This window comes from Homo sapiens, chromosome 15 (assembly GCF_000001405.40).
Source record: "Homo sapiens chromosome 15, GRCh38.p14 Primary Assembly".
In the NCBI taxonomy this organism is placed as follows: domain Eukaryota; kingdom Metazoa; phylum Chordata; class Mammalia; order Primates; family Hominidae; genus Homo; species Homo sapiens.
The window spans coordinates 42,645,517-42,662,770 of record NC_000015.10 but is presented as its reverse complement, the minus strand read 5'-3'; the positions used below and the strand labels follow the sequence as shown (position 1 = coordinate 42,662,770).

Below are 17,254 nucleotides of genomic sequence, written 5' to 3'. Positions count from 1 at the left end.
AAAAACAAAAGCAAATAAGACACTATCTTTACAATGCTGTTGAAAAATACTATCCGTTATTCTGTATATCATGCTGTAAAGGACTCACATAATAAATTCCTTTTAGAATTCAGTTCCAGAAGAAAATGTTACCATTTTGTAATGAACTGGACTTTTTCTGCTTCTCAGGCAATAAAAATCAAATAACTCATTATGTTTCTGTTTTTATTTTGACTGTCAGAACACTTTATGCTAAATGTAATGCTCATTTACAGTAATGATATTAGCACGGCTTTTTGGTATATTCACTTCTCTATTGTTTTAAATTCCTATATTTATAGTTTTATGGTATTTGTGCCGTTAGCTGACAACAGTTTGAATTTCTTTTTTAAGTAAATGGGAAATATTAAAAATTCACACTTCCAATTGGCTGATAATAGTTCCTTTCAAACAGCACTTAGTTCTTAAGGGAATACTGTACCATATTATGTTTTAAAATAAGAAAATTTGCCTTATTTCATCTTACCCTTTCTTGTGATCACATTATCCCCCTCAAGACTACCTCTTTCTAAATACATATGTAACTATAATTCATGCTCCCTTCTAATACCTACAAGGCAGTATCTTCTCAACCTTTCAAGATTTTTTAAACTTTTTTTCTTTAGAGATAGGGTTGAGCTATGTTGTTATGTTGCCCAGGATGGCTTCAAACTCCTGGGCTCAAGTGATCCTCCCACCTCAGCCTCCTGAATAGCTGGGACTACAGATGTGCACCACAAAGTAAAACTTTTTTTTTAAGTAAAGAACTGCATAAAAATCAATATTAAAGAAAAAATAAAATCAATATTAAATCAAAGAGAAAAGTTGTACTAATTCAGTTACCTTCACTGAGAGCAGTGGTTTTTTAATCCTTCCTATACATTAGAATCACCTGGGCAGCTTTAACAATATCCTGATGCTTGCACTCCCACCAACCTCCTAATAATCTGATTGATCTGAGATGTAGGTATGGGGAGTTTTAAAAGGTCCTCAGGTGGCCAGGTGCAGTGGCTCACGCTTGTAATCCCAGCACTTTGGGAGACTGAGGCAGATGAATCGCCCAAGGCCAGGAGTGCGAGGCCAGCCAGGGCAACATAATGAGATGTTGTCTCCATTAAAAAAAAGAAAGAAAGAAAGAAAGAAAGCCAGATGTGGTGTCACGTGCCTGTAGTCCCAGCTACTCCAGAGGCTGAGGCAGGAGGGTCACTTGAGCCCAGTAGTTCAGGGTTACAATGAGCCATGATCATACTACTGCACTCCAGCCTGGAGCCTGGGCAACAGAGTAAGACTGTCTCAAAAAAAGAAAAGGTCCTCAGGTGATTTAATGTACAACCAAGATTGAGAATCCCTGATGTAGAGGAACTTTTCGGCCCCTAGAAAATAACTTCTTAACCTAGCATTCAAAGAGCTTATTTCTTTTGTAATACTCTCAGGATGACTGAAATGTGAAAAAGATTGGAACAGCTTATTCCCTGTAAAACAGGCAAGAACAAGAGTAATTCCCCTTAGCTTTAAAATCCTAATTACCTGCCTGCTAGGTCCACAAGGTTGATCTTGCTAGCCATTTCAGAAGGGAGGTTGTTCTCCAGGATTGCCTAGAGGAGAAAACATTTAAAGCCTGTCATTTGGAACGATTTGTATTGTTTTCCCCTTAGAACTCTTCTAACCAAGGTGATATTTTGGATTTTTATCCAATTCACTCAACAAATCTGTATTCTAATGTGATGTAAACCAGGTGAGCTCTCAATATCTGACAGATAAAATCAATAGGGCCCTGGATCATCACTTCAAAAAAAAAAAACAAAACAAAAAACACCAGCAGAACTTACAGACTAAGTACATAAACTTCCATGAAGTTTGCTGAGCACAACTTTCAGTGGCATCAGGAAATTTCAGTACAATTTACCACGCAAATGCTCAACTCCCTCCCAGGGGGCTCTGACTCTTATTAGCAGAGAGCCACAGCATGTGGGTGGCCTCTGATGGTCTCTTCCTAACCTCAGTCACAGCACCTTAACTTGCCAGGGTAGAAACTCTGCCCTGTAAGTTCTATTTAGCGCCATCCAGCCCCCAAGAAGAAACTACTCTGCCCCCAACCCCGATTCAATGTCGGTTTTGTTATTTTGTTTTAGAAATTGTTAATTTTTGTTTCTTGTTTTTTTTTTTTTGTTTGTCTGTTTTTTTTTTGAGCCGGAGTTTTGCTCTTGTTACCCAGGCTGGAGTGCAATGGCACGATCTCGGCCCACTGCAACCTCTGGCCTCCCAAGTTCAAGTGATTCTCCTGCCTCGGCCTCCCAAGTAGCTGAGATTACAGGCATGCACCACCAGGCCTGGCTAATTTTGTATTTTTAGCAGAGACAGGGTTTCACCATGTTGGCCAGGCTGGTCTTGAACTCCTGACCTCAGGTGATCTGCCTGCCTCGGCCTCCCAAAGTGATGGGATTACAGGCATGAGCCACTGCACCGACCAGAAATTGTTAATATCATACATCATCAACCGAATGTAGTTTTAGGACATTTCAAATAATCCCCAAATCCCTCAAGTCTTTGCAGTCATTCTGTTCCCATCCCCAGCTTGAAGCAATCACTTAACTTTCTATGTCTGTAAGTCTACCTTTTCAGAATGTTTCATATAAATAGAATCGTACATCTAGCTCTTTTCACTGTACATAATTATTTTGAGATTTATCCATGTTAAGGCATGCATCAAAAGTTCATTCATTTTTACTGCTATTATTCCATTGTGTGGATATACCACAGTTATCCATTTGCCTTTTGATGGATGTGCAGGTTGTTTCTATTTTGGGGTAATTACAAATAACAGTTATGGATATTTGTGCACATCTTTCTGTGGACATTGCTCTTGGATAAACACCTAAGAGTAGAATTGCTGGGTCATATGGTAGGTATACATTTTAAGAAACTGCTAGGCTGGGCATGATGACTCACCCCTGTAATCCCAGCACTTTGGGAGGTGGAGGCAGGTGGATCATGAGGTCAGGAAATTGAGACCTTCCTGGCCAAAATGGTGAAACCTCGTCTCTACTAAAAATACAAAAATTAGCCAAGCGTGGTGGCGGGCACCTGTAGTCCCAGCTACTCAGGAGGCTGAGGAGGAAAATGGCATGAAGCCAGGAGGCAGAGGCTGCAGTGAGCCAAGATCGCGCCACTGCCCCTCCAGCCTGGGCAACAGAGTGAGACTCCATCACAAACAAACAAAACAAAAACAAACAAAGAAAACCCTGATAAACTCTTTTCCAAAGTTGCTATACCATTTACATTCCCACCAGCAGAGCAGTGTATGAAAACTCCTGCTCCTACACAACTTGCTGATATTTAGTATAATTTTAGCCATGTTAAAAGGTGGGTAGTGGTATCTCATTTGGTTCTAATTTGTATTTCCCTAATGAACAAGGATGTTGAGAATTTTTTCAACTCCCTAATTGTCACTAGCATATTTTGTTTAGTGAAATGTCAGTTCAAAATTTTTGCCATTGTTTTGAGTTGTTTTCTTACGGTGTTTAGAGAGTTCTTTATATATTCTGGATATAATTCCTCCATCAGATGTATGTTTAGCAAAAAAGTTCTACCTATCTGTTGCTTTTCCTTCTTTCCTTCTTCTTTTCTCTCTTTCTTTCTTTCGAGGGAGTCTTGCTGTGTCACCTAGGCTGAAGTGCAGTGGCACGATCTTGGCTCACTGCAACCTCTGCCTGCTGGGTTCAAGCAATTCTCCTGCCTCAGCCTCCTGAGCAGCTGGGATTACAGGTGCAAGCCACCAAGCCTGGCTAATTTTTGTATTTTTAGTAGAGACAGGGTTTTCACCATCTTGGCTAGGCTGGTCTCGACCCCCGATCTCAAGTGATCCACCCACCTTGGCCTCCCAAAGTGGTGGGATTACAGGCATGAACCACCACACCTGGCCTGCTTTTCTTTTTATTCTCCTAATAATGTCTTTAAAAGTGCAAAAGGGGCCAGGCACGGTGGCTTATGCCTGTAATCCCAGCACTTTGGGAGGCAGAGGCAAACTGGATTGCTTGAGATCAGGAGTTCAAGACCAGCCTGGCCGACACGGTGAAACCCCGTCTCTACTAAAAATACAAAAATTAGCCAGGCATGGTAATGCGTGCCTGTAATCCCAGCTACTTAGGTGGCTGAGGCAGGAGAATCACTTGAACCCGGGAGGTGGAGGTTGCAATGAGTCAAGATTGTGCCACTGTGCTCCAGCCTGGGTGACAGAGCAAGAATCAGTCTCATTAAAAAAAAAAAAAAGTGCAAAAGGCCAGGCATGGTGGGTCATGCCTGTAATCCCAGCATTTTGGGAGGCTGAGACAGGAGGATCACTTGAGCCTAGGGATTTAAGACCAGCCTGGGCAACATAACGAGACCTTGTCTCTACAAAAAAAATACAAAAGTTATTTTGTACACTGTAAGTGTACACACACACACACACACACACACACACACCTGTAAGTCCCAGCTACTTGGGAGGCTGAGGTGGGAGGATCACTTGAGCCCGGGAGGTTGAGGCTGCAGTGAGCCATGATTGTGCCACTGCACTCTAGCCTGGGTGACAGAGTGTGACCCTGTCTCAAAAAAAAATTATAAAAGTACAAAAGTTTGAAATTGTGATTAACTCGATTTCAATTTGTACTTCTGTTCAATTTGTGTTTTTAGTGCCATATCTATAAAACCTTCGCCTAATCAAGAATCACAAAGGTTCTCCTAAGTTATGTTCTAAAGTTTAATAGTTTCAGGTTTCCCATTTAGAGCTATGATTCAATATGAGTTAACTTTTCGATAAAGTGCAAAATATAGATCAAAGTTCTTTTTTTCATATAGACATCCAATTGTTCTCCCACCATTTGCTGAAAACATATTTTCTCCACTGAATTGCCTTTGCAACTTTATTAAAAATCAGTTGCCTATATATGTGTGAGTCTATTTTGGACTCTATTCTATTCCAGTAATCTATTTATCTTAACACTAACACCACACTATCTTGGTTACTTTAGCTTCAGGAAGCATAGGGTTTATCTCAGAGAATGCTCCGTGTGCACTTGAAAATATGTGTATTCTGTGATGTTGGATGAAGTGTTCTGAAAATGTCAGGTCACATAGTTTGATAATGTTGCTCAAATCTTCTATTTCCTCACTGATTTCTGTTTGGTTATCTACCTACTACTGGAAATTAGGTACTGAAATATCCAACCATTGTTGAACTGTCTATTTTAATCTTTCAATTCCATCAGTGTTTTCATGTATTTTGAGGTTTGGTTGTTCAGGGTGCATACATTTATAAATGTTGTATTTCTTCAATGTACTGACTGACCCTTTATCATTATGAAATATTCCTGTCTCTAGTATTTGTCTTAAAACCTTTTTTTTTTTTTTTGAGACGGAATCTCACTCTTGTTGCCCAGGCTGGAGTGTGATGGTACGATCTCAGCTCACTGCAACCTCTGCCTCCTGGATTCAAGTGATTCTCCTGCCTCAGCCTTCTGAGTAGCTGGGACTACAAGCGCTCACCACCATGCCTGGCTAATTTTTTTTGTATTTTTAGTAGAGACGGGGTTTCACCATGTTGGCCAGGCTGGTCTCAAACTCCTAACGTCAGGCGATCCATCCACCTCGGCTTCCCAAAGTGCTGGGATTACAGGCTTGAGCCACCACGCCCAGCCTTAAAACCTATTTTTTGCCTGACATTAAAATACCACTCCAGCTCTCTTATGCTTACTTTTTTAAAAATTTCAATAGGTTTTGGAGGAACAGATGGTGTCTGGTTACATGAATAAGTTCTTTAGTGGTGATTTCTGAAATATTGGTGCACCCATCACCCAAACAGTGTACCCTGTACCCAATGTGTAGTCTTTTATCCCTCACCCCCCTTTCCCACAAGTCCCCAAAGTTCATTCTTATGCTGTTGCGTCCTTATGCCTATGTGTCCTTATGCCTTTGTATCATTCTTATGCCTTTGTGTCCTCATAGTTTAGCTCCCATTTATGAGTGAGAAGATACGTTTGGTTTTCCATTCCTGAGACACTTAACTTAGAATAATGGTCTCCAATTCCATCCAGGTTGCTGCAAATGCTATTATTTGGTGCCTTTTCACGGCTGAATGTATTCCACAGTATACATACACCACATTTTCTTTAACCACTCATTGACGGACATTTGGGCTGGTTCTGTATTTTTGCAAATGTGAATTGTGCTGCTAAAACATGCATGTGCAAGTATCTTTTTCATATAACGACTTCTTTTCCTCTGGGTAAATCTACCTGTAGTTCTTTAAGGAATCTCCACACTGTTTTCCATAATGGTGATACTAGTTTATATTCCCATCAACAGTGTAAAAGCGTTCCCTTTTCACCATATCCACGGCAACATCTTTTTTTTTTTTTTTTTTTTTTTTTTTTTTTTTTTTTTTTAGGAGATGGCTGGAGTGCAGTGGCATGATCTCGGCTCACTGCAACCTCTGCCTCCCAGGTTCAAGCAATTCTCCAGCTTCAGCCTCGTGAGTAGCTGGGACTACAGGAGCGCAACAGCAAATTTTTTTATTTTTAGTAGATACAGCATTTCGCCATGTGGGCCAGGCTGGTCTTGAACACCTGACCTCAGGTGATCCACCTGCCTCAGACTCCCAAAGTGCTGGGATTACAGGCGTGAGCCACTGACCCAGCCTCTTTTTGGATTTTTTTATTATGGCCATTCTTGCAGGAGTAAGGTGGTATTGCATTGTGATTTTGATTTGCATTTCCCTGATAATCAGTGATGTTGAGCATTTTTTTCCTATGTTTGTTGCCATTTGTATATCTTCTTTTGAGAACTGTTTATTCATGTCCTTAGCCCACTTTTTGATGGGACTGTTTTTTTCTTGCTGATTTGTTTGAGTTCCTTGTAGAGTCTGGATATTAGTCCTTCGTAGGATGCATAGATTGCAAATATTTTCTCCCACTCTGTGGGCTGTTTGCTGATTATTTCTTTTGCTGTGCAGAAGATTTTTGTTTTATTTAAGTCCCATCTATTTCTCTTTGTTTTTGTTGCATTTGCTTTTGGATTCTTGCTCATGAAGTCTTTGCCTAAGCCAATGTCTAGAAGGATTTTTCCAATGTTATCTTCTAGAATTTTTATGGTTTCAGGTCTTATATGTAAGTCTTTCATCTATCTTGAGTTGATTTTTGTATAATGTGGGAGATGAGGATCCAGTGTCATTCTCTTACATGTGGCTTGCCAATTATCCCAGCACCATTTGTTGAATAGGGTGTCCTTTCCCCACTTTACGTTTTTGTTTGCTTTGTCAAAGATCGGTTGACTGCAAGTATTTGGCTTTATTTCTGCATTTTCTATTCTGTTCCATTGGTCTATATGCCTGTTTTTGTCCCAGTACCATGCTGTTTTGGTAACTATTGGCCTTATAGTATAGTTTGAAGTTGGGTAATGTAATGCATCCAGATTTGGTTTTGTTGTTGTTTTTGAGACGAAGTCTCACTCTGTTGCCCAGGCTGGAGTGCAGCGGTGTGATCTCAGCTCACTGCAACCTCTGCCTCCCAGGTTCAAGCAATTCTCCTGCCTCAGCCTCCCGAATAGCTGGGATTACAGGTGCCTGCCATCACGCCCAGCTAATTTTTTCTATTTTTAGTAGAGAGGGGTTTCACCATGTTGGCCAGGCTGGTCTCAAACTCCTGACCTCAAGTGATCCGCCTGCCTCGGCCTCCCAAAGTGCTGGGATTACAGGCATGAGCCACTGCGCCTGGCCCAGATTTGTTCTTTTTGCTTAGTCTTGCTTTGGCTATGTGGGCTCTTTTTTGGTTCCATATGAATTTTAGGACTGTCTTTTCTAGTTCTGTGAAGAATGATGGTGGTATTTTGATGGGGATTGCATTGAATTTGTAGACTGCTTTAGGCAGTATGGCCATTTTCACAATACTGATTCTACCCATCCATGAGCATGAGATATGTTTCCATTTGTTTGTGTCATATATGATTTCTTTCAGCGGTGTTTTGTAGTTCTTCTTGTACAGGTCTTTCACCTCCTTGGTTAAGTGTATGCCTAAGTATTTTTTTTTTTCAGCTATTGTAAAAAATGTTGAGTTCTTGATTTGATTCTCAGCTTGTCTGCTGCTGGTGTATAGCACAGCTACTGATTCATGTACATTAATTTTGTATCTTGAAACTTCGCTGAATTCATTTACCAGTTCCAGGAGCTCTTTGGATAAGTCTTTAGGGTTTTCTAGGTATACAATCATGTTGTCAGCGAACAGCAACAGTTTGACTTCCTCTTTACTGATCTGGATGCCCTTTATTTCTTTCTCTTGTCTCATTACTCTAGCTAGGACTTATGGTTACTATTATTATGGTATATCTTTTTCCATCCTTTTACTTTCAACCTGTGTCTGTGATTCTAAGGTGTGTTTCTTATAGACAGCATGTAGTTGGGTCTTGCTTTTATGCAATCTGAAAATTTGTACCTTAGGCAATTCACACTTAATGTATTTAATAATTATTGATGTGCTCAGAACCATCCATGTCTGATTTTTCTTTTTTCTGTGTCTCATATCTCCTTTGTTCCTCTGTTCTTCCTCCACTGCCTTTAACTGTTAGGTATTTTTATTAATATGTACCATTTTAATTTCTGTTGTTTTTTCTGCCCAGAGGAGGCAGAAGAAATGTTGATTTTTAAAATTGTATTTTTGAGCTATTTTCTTAGTACTTGCTCTACAGATTACAATACATATCTTTATTTATGATCTACTTTAAAATAATACTAACTTAATTCCTGTAAAATATAGTAACTCTACTTAAATATATCTCCTTTCATTTCCCTTGTGCTGTTATTTTCATATATGACAATGTACAAAAATGCATTGTTACAATTGTGGTTTTATGTAATCTTATTCTTTTATTGACATTAGGAGAAGAAACGAGAAAGAATGTAGGTTTTTTTTATATTTACTCACACATTTATCATTCCCAGATATTTCACTGTCTCCTATAGATTTAAGATACTTTCTAATATCACTTTCTTTCAGCCTAGAAGATTTCATTTAGTTTTCTTGTCAGGTAAGTCTGCTGGCAATAAATTCTACTTTTTATTTTTCCAATCTGGGAATGTTCTTATTGCCAGTTTTTTATATTATCTCAGCCCCCTGACTTCTAAGGGTTCAATGCTTCTGATGAGAAGTCAGCCATTCATCACGTAATTGTTCTACTGTATAAGTCACTTTTCTCTAGCTGTTTTTAAGATTTTCTCTTTGTCTTTCAACAGTTTAACTATGATGTGTCTAGGTGTGGATCTCTTTGTGTTTATTTTACTTGGAGTCCTTTGAGCTTCTTAGATCTATAAATGATTTTCAACAAATTTAGGAAGTTTTTAGTCATCATTTTATTTTGGGTGTGGTACTTCTCACTTTGTTACATTCCTTTAATCTATTTTCAGACCACAGAAAGGATTTTGTCCAGCTTTATAGTTGCTTTTTGGGGATATGACTTGACCTCCTCAATCCATCACAATGGAAGTGAATCTTCTAATATTTCATTTTAATGCTTATTTTCTTTTCAACCTTTTGTTTTAAATGTCCATACTGATCACACCGATGTGAAAGCGTTTTAAAATGTTAAAAATAAATATAAGCAGAAGATATTTTGATTAGTCTTTATAAAATGCTTCTACCCATTCTAGGTGTATAGCTTAACGGATTGTGTGTAAATCCGGTTTACAATATTAGGTTCTATCAGAGGACCTATAAATATGAGAGTAGGAGGAAAGGAAAAGAAACAGGGCCGGGAACGATGGCTCCCATCTGTAATGCCAGCACTTAGGCAGGCCGAGCCAGGTGGATCATCTGAGGTCAGGAGTTTGAGACCAGTCTGGCCAACATGGTGAAACCCCGTCTTTACTAAAAATTAAAAAATAATTAGCCGGGCATGGTGGCGTCTCCTGTAATCCCAGCTATTTGGGAGGCTGAGGCAGGAGAATTGTTTGAGCCTGGGAGGCAGAGGTTCAGGTGAGCCGAGATCGCGCCACTGCACTCCAGTCTGGGCAACAGACTGAGACCCTGTCTCAAAAACCAACAAACAAAAAAAGAAATAGGAAGGAAGACAAGAAAGTGGTTTAAAGGTACAAGGAGAGGAAGAAATCTCACCAAACATAAGGAGTTACCAACCTGCGTGTAGTGGATCGTGAAAATGGCGTGGGATCTGCTGCTGGCCTCATGAACATGGGTGGCTGCTGTGATTCTGTGTATACAAGGAAAAACTGTTAGGACGAGGATTGTTTACACATGGTGGATTCTTAAGGATCCATACAGAATACAAGAAATGTTAGTGCTGAGGTTCACCGACAAGAATCATAAAACACACATATTTAGTCCAGTATCGTGAAGAGAATAGTCCAAAGAGGGCAGAAGCAGCACTCTAGGTGCTGATATCTGAGCATAAAACGGAGTGTAGCTTCATACTAAACTACACTGAAACTTTTTTTTTTTAAGCAATAGAAGCAAAAATTCAAGTGAAAAGGGAAATGAAGACTAGAGCGTCATCATCCTGGAAGAACATGCCCAAGATAGACCCATTTTATTTTATTCTTTCACTTTATTTTATTTTATTCTTGGAGTCATTTTAATAAGACAAGTGGATGTAGAAAGCTTGCTAGAGAAGATACCTCAAAGACAGAGAAGGTAAGTTTTGATTAAACACAGAATATTAATTCTACAGTGTCAGAAAGATCTTGGAAATGAGATCTTAAATCACATCAATATCATGCTTAAGCCAGGCGGAATTCACAGTCTCCCTTAGAAATCCATTACAGTGTTAACCCTTAAAGTCAGGAGAGGTTTTCCTTTATCTAAGAGCATCTCACTGAGCTCTGTTCTCAGAGGATCTGGAGAATTGAAGAAAAGGGCCAAAATCTAGAGGCTAGTCTCATGATTCAAGCCTGACACTGAAAAATCATGGAGCTCAGGGTACCCTGAAGACCAGAAGTAAGTGTCTCCAGGAGAGTTCCATGAAGCTCAGGAGAATGTTAAATTTAAATTTCTTCCTTTATGTTCAATTAACTTGGTCCTGCTATTAACAGGATAAATAGAAGGCTCTAAAGACCTTTTTACCCCAGAAAAAAAAAGCCTTTTTTAGGGACATTTACTAGTAATATTCTAGGTATTTCATAGTAACTTACAACATGAAATGTTATTACAATTTACAATAGCTTTTAGGGGAATCTACAGCACCTAGTTATTCATAGCAGATTCAAAACAGTCTTTTGAGGGGCTACCTTATAAGTATGCAAAACTAGAAAAAAATGTTTTTATGAACCTTTTACACTATATTCATCCTTATATCTATCAAACCTGAGGAGAGGACAATGCAGGTAAGAACCCTTTCTTCCAAATTTAGAAGCTCTAAACAAAATATAGAGTAACTTCCTTGGGCTTACTGCCTAATATTATTATGTCCAGAACAGATTCCAGCTTCATTACTAGTGAGAAGAGACTAAATCTTAGTCACCACCCCTTACCCTGTGAACACTATTGTTCTGGGAAGAGCCTCCTGGTTGTGAACATCTCTACACACAGAGACAATTTTAAGTGTCATTATACACTCCCCAAAGGGAAATGGGAACACAGGATAGGAGTGTGAGGATAAAAGAATGACAGAAACAAACAAACCTGTTACCTGTTTGCAATTCCCTCCTCCAAGAGTTGGATTACTTGCTTATAATTGGTAACTACATGTTGAGATAAACCTATCGGATTTGTGAAACGGAAAAAAGAAATTAAATGAGATTTTTGGTAAACTTTAACCTTTTCTTGTAAGTCTTTATCATTCCTATTTCATATTGTTTAATAGACAAAAATGAGGGAATCTGGCCAAATTCATTCAGATAATAAATTAAATCAAGAAATATTTATTGGAAACCTCTTGTCAGGTATATGATAGACTCTAGGAATATAGGTCTCTGTCCTCACAGAGATTATGGTCTATAAGTCATATAGACCATATGCTAACAACAACTATAATTCCTTACAGTTCTGCTATATAGGTTATAAGAACTGTTCTCATTTGGCCCTCACAAAGTCCCTGAGGTAGGCCAGTGTTGTTTTCCCCACAAGGTGGCAGACTCGGTTTGGCATACAAAATACACAGTACACTCATCTCTGTCCTCCCACAGTTTACAATCATGGTAAGTTACACTACACAAGACAATATGGCCAAGTGCCACAGGAGTTGGAAAGATGATACATGATGAGGAGATCAGAGGCGTGGTCAGGACAGGTTCCACAGAAGAAGTGAGACTTAAATTTAGCCACTATAGAATGGGGAGGCTTTAGATAGGTGAAGAGGAGCCTACGGGCATGAAAGTAAATCTTCATGGCTGGTTACTGACCAAGTCCCAAAGGCCTTCCCAACTGTTCCAGAGAATCTCTGTATGAGAGATTCAAAAACAAAGTAACTTCATGGGCTTATTGCTAAATACAATTACACCCAAAATAACAAAGTAACATAAATGAAACCAACAAAAATAATAGTCAATAGAAAGCAATCCAAGAAAGACCCAGATACTGAAGCTACCAGGCCGACTTAAAAGTAACCCTGAAGGCTGGGCACTGTGGTTCATGCCTGTAATCCCAGCACTTTGGGAGGCCGAGGCGGGCGGGCCTGAGGTCAGGAGTTTGAGACTAGCCTGGCGAACATGGAGAAACCCTGTCTCTGCTAAAAATGCAAAATTAGCTGGGTGTGTTGGTGCATGCCTGTAATCCCAGCTACTCGGGAGGCTGAGACAGGAGAATCCCTTGAACCTGGGAGGCGGAGGTTGTGGAGAGTCGAGATCGCGCCATTGCACTCCAGCCTCGGCAACAAGAGCGAAACTCCATCTCAAAAAAAAAAAAAAAAAAAAAGGCCAGGCTCGGTGCCTCATGCCTGTAATCCCAGTACTACTTTGGGAGCCCAAGGCAGGTAGATCATGAGGTCAGGAGTTCCAAGACCAGCCTGGCCAAGATGGTGAAACCCCACCTCGACTAAAAATACAAAAAATTAGCTGGACATGGTAGCGGGAGCCTATAGTCCAAGCTACTCAGGAGGCTGGGGCAGGAGAATCACTTGGACCTAGGAGGCAGAGGTTGCAGTGAGCTAAGATCTCACCATTGCACCCCAGCCTGGGCGATAAGAGCAAAACTTCGTTTCAAAAAAAAAAAAAAGTAACTCTGCTTAATATTTTCAAGGAGTTTAAAGACAAGATTGTAAACTTGGAAACTATAATGAAATAATAAAATGGATATCTGAGAAATAATACTGTAAGTGAAAATAAAAACTCAATATAAAGTTTAATAGCAGGTTAGACATAGCTGAAGAAAGAATGAGTGAGCAGGAAGATAGATCAGAAACATACTCAAAATTTAGCACAGAGAGACAAAAGATTAAAAATATGGAGGGAGCCGGGTGCAGTGGCTCACGCCTGTAATCCCAACACTTTGGGAGGCTGAGGCGGGTGGATCATGAGGTCAGGAGTTCAAGACCAGCCTGACCAACGTGGTAAAACCCCGTCTCTCATGAAAATACAAAAATCAGCCGGCTGTGGTGGTGCGCGACTGTAATCCCAGCTACTCGGGAGGCTAAGGCAAGAGAATCGCTTGAACCCAGGAGGTGGAGGTTGCAGTGAGCTGAGATTGCGCCATTGCACTCCAGCCTGGGCAACACAGCGAGGCTCCATCTCAAAGAAAAAAAAATGGAGGCTAGGTGTGCACACCTGTAATCTCAGCTACTTGGGAGGCTGAGGCAGGAGGATCCCTTGAGCCCAGGAGTCCAAAACCAGTCTGGGCAACATTAGCAAGACTTCATGTCTAATAAATAAATTAATTAATTAAATATAGAAGAAATGGTAAGACTCACAGAGTATACAGGCAATAGGCCTTAACATACCTGTAATTAGAGTCCCAAAAGAAGAGGAAAGAATGGGATAGAAGGATTATTATAAGAGGTAATGGTAGTGGAGGGAAGGGGGGAAAAAAGGGAAAGGTAATGGCTAAGAACTTTCCAAAACTGATAAGAAGATACAAAAGCACAATTCAAGAATCCCAGCATGATTTTTTAAAAACCTAAATCTACCCATAAGTAGACCATAATAAACTGTTCAAAGACAAAAGTAAAAATATTGAAAAAATTAGACTAGGAGATGACTTCTCAGCAAAAACAGTGGAAAGCAGAAGAGAATGGTATAATTTTTAATGACTAAAAGAAAATAACCATCAATTTAAAATTCTGTACTCAGTGAACTTTACCTTCAAGAACAAGAAAAGCAGGCTGGGTATGGGGGCTCATGCCTGTAATCCCAGCACTTTGGGAGGCCGAGGCCAGTGGATTACTTTCGGTCAGGAGTTCAAGATCAGCCTGGCCAACATGGTGAAACCCCATCTCTACTAAGAGTACAAAAATTAGCTGGGCACGGTAGCATGTGCCTGTAATCCCAGCTACTCGGGAAGCTGAGGCAGGAGAATTGCTCAAACCCAGGAGGCGGAGGTTGCAGTGAGCCGAGATCGCGCCACTGCACTCTAACCTGGGTGACAGAGCAAGACTCCATCTCAAACAAACAAACAAAAAGCCAAAAGAGAACTTGTCAATAGCAGATCCACACTAGAGGGAAAACAAGATTATTCTTGAAGTAGAAGGCACTCAGAGATAAAAGGTAGGATATTCTTTAAAAATTAAGAGCCCTAAAAATGGCATTTAAGTCAAGAAGGGACAAACTGAGTTCAAGTCTTATAAGGTCCAAAAGGTTTATTGTCTGGGAAGAAGCAGAACAACCAGTAAATATTAGACTTTGATAAATCAATGGTCTATGTTGTAATCTCTGGAGTAACCACCAAAATAGTAAGACAATGTGTAAATAATAAGCTAGTGGAGAAGGAATATGGAATAATTTTTTAAAGTTATCAAACCAAAAGACAAAGTAACGAAAAAGGAACATAAAACAGGAAAAGTAAAGAGAAAACACAAAATAACAGATTTAAACCCAAATAAAATCAGTGATTACATTAAATACAAGCAGACCACAATACCAAATTAAAAGACCAAAACTGTGATGAAACAAAGGTAAAACAAAGCAAAAGGAAAATTTTTTAAAATAAAAAACACATCTGAAACATACATAGAAAACTGAAAGTAAAAGTAGAAAAGAAGATAAAAATACAAACAATAACACAAAGAAAGCTAGTTTCGTTAATGCCTGACAAAGTAGACTTTAAAGTAAAAGCATTATTAGAGATAAAGAAAAATCCTTCACAATGAAAAAAGTGTTCAATGAACCAGGAAGTTTTAACAATTCTAATTTTGTATGCATGTAATAATAAAGCCTCAAAATATATAAAACAAAAATTGGCAGAATTAAAAGGAGAAAAAGGCATCCATACTCATAGTAGGAAAGTTTAACTTGCATTTCTTAGTATCTGTTAAAACAAGTGGAAAAATAAAATCAATAGGGGTACAGAAGATTTGAACAAGTATCAAACCTGATAAATAGTAATATATAAACACTATGCCCAACAATTGTATAATACATATTCTCTTCAAGCATACATGGAAAATTTACAAAAACTGGCCAATGTGCTAGGCTACAAATCAAACTGTGCTATACATATTTGAAGCTTTTTCATTATTATTATATCTGTTATGATGATCTGTGACCAGTAATCTTTGATGTTACTATTATAATTGTGTTGGTACACCAAGAATCGTATAGAAAAGCGAACTTAATTGATAAATGTATATGTTCTGACTGCTCCACCAGCCAACCTTTCCCCTACCTTTCTCCCTCTACTCAGGCCTCCCTATTCCCTGAGACACAACAATATTGAAATGAGGCCAATAACCCTACAATGGCCTTTAAGTGTCCAAGTGAAAGAGTCTCTCATTTTAAATCAAAAGCTAGAAACGCTGAAGTTTAGCAAGGAAGGCATGTCGAAAGCCAAGAAAGGCTGAAAGCTAGGCCTCTTGCGCCCAACAGTTGGCCAGGCTGTGAATGCAAAGGAAAAGTTCTTGAAGGAAATTAAAAGTGCTACTCCGTGAACACATGAACGATAAGAAAACAAAACAGCCTTCTTGCTGATATGAAGAAAGTTTTTACAGTATGGTTAGAAGATCAAACCATCACAACATTCTCCTAAGCCAGAGACTAATCCAGAGCAAAGCCCTGATTCCCTTCAATGCTATGAAGGCTGAGAGAAGTGAAGAAGCTGCAGAAGAAAAGTTGGAGCTGGCAGAGGGTGGTTCATGAGGTTTAAGGAAAGAAGCTTCTCAGTAACATTTAAGTGCAAGGTGAAGCAAGCAAGTGCTGACGGAGAAGCTGTAATAAGTTATCCAAAAGATATAGCTAAAGCTAAGATAATGAAGGTAGCTACACTAAACAACAGAATTTCAATGTAGACAAATCAGGCTTCCATTGGAAAAAGGTGTCATCTAGGATTTTTATAGCTAGAAAGCAGCAGCCAATGTCTGGTTTCAAAGCTTCAAAGGACAGGCCGATTCTCCTGTTAGGGGCTAATGCAACTGGTGACTTTATTTTATTATTATTATTATCATTATTATTATTGTTGTTGTTGTTGTTGAGACGGAGTTTCACTCTTGTTCACCAGGCCAGAGTGCAGTGGCACAATCTCGGCTCACTGCAACCTCTGCCTTCTGGGTTCAAGTGATTCTCCTGCCTTAGCCTCCCGAGTAGCTGGAATTACAGGCACCAGCCACCACGTCTGGCTAATTTTTGTATTTTTAGTAGATATGGGGGTTTCACCACGTTGGCCAGGCTGGTCTCGAACTCCTGACCTCAGGTGATCCACCCACCTCAACCTCCCAAAGTGCTGGGATTACAGGCATGAGCCACCATGACTTTAAATTGAAGCCATTATCACTCTGAAAATCCTAAGGCCAGGCTGGGCGCGGTGACTCACAGCTGTAATCCCAGAACTTTGGGAGGCCAAGGCAGGTGGATCTCTTGAGCCCACAAGTTCAAGACCAGCCTGGGCAACATGGTGAAACCCTGTCTCCACAAAATACACAAAAAATTAGCCAGGTATGGTAGCGCATGGGTGGGAAAATGAATCACATGAGCCTGGGAAGTTGAGGCTGCAGTGAGCTGTGATCACGCCACTGCACTCCAGACTGGGTGACAGAGCAAGACCCTCCCTCTCTCAAAAAAAAAAAAAAAATCCTAGGGCCCTTAAGAATCATGCTAAATCTACTCTGCCTGTGCCCT

The 17,254-nt window shown here is 39.7% G+C and overlaps 1 protein-coding gene across 17 annotated transcripts in view; it reads right to left on the bottom strand.

The window, feature by feature from the left end:
• The window catches only part of STARD9 (StAR related lipid transfer domain containing 9), a 145,393-nt gene that overhangs the window by 58,228 nt on the left and 69,911 nt on the right, over window positions 1–17,254 (bottom strand). For 15 of the 17 annotated variants that reach the window (XM_011521831.4, NM_020759.3, XM_011521834.4 and 12 more), the window contains 3 exons: window positions 11,686–11,755; window positions 10,179–10,251; window positions 1,546–1,613 (listed from right to left, as the gene is read on the bottom strand). In XM_011521831.4, coding sequence (XP_011520133.1) covers window positions 1,546–1,613; window positions 10,179–10,251; window positions 11,686–11,755 — 211 coding nt within the window. Of the gene's footprint in view, window positions 1–1,545; window positions 1,614–10,178; window positions 10,252–11,678; window positions 11,756–17,254 lie in introns of those variants that run through there. The other 2 variants (XM_017022442.1, XM_017022443.1) reach the window with 2 other exon arrangements.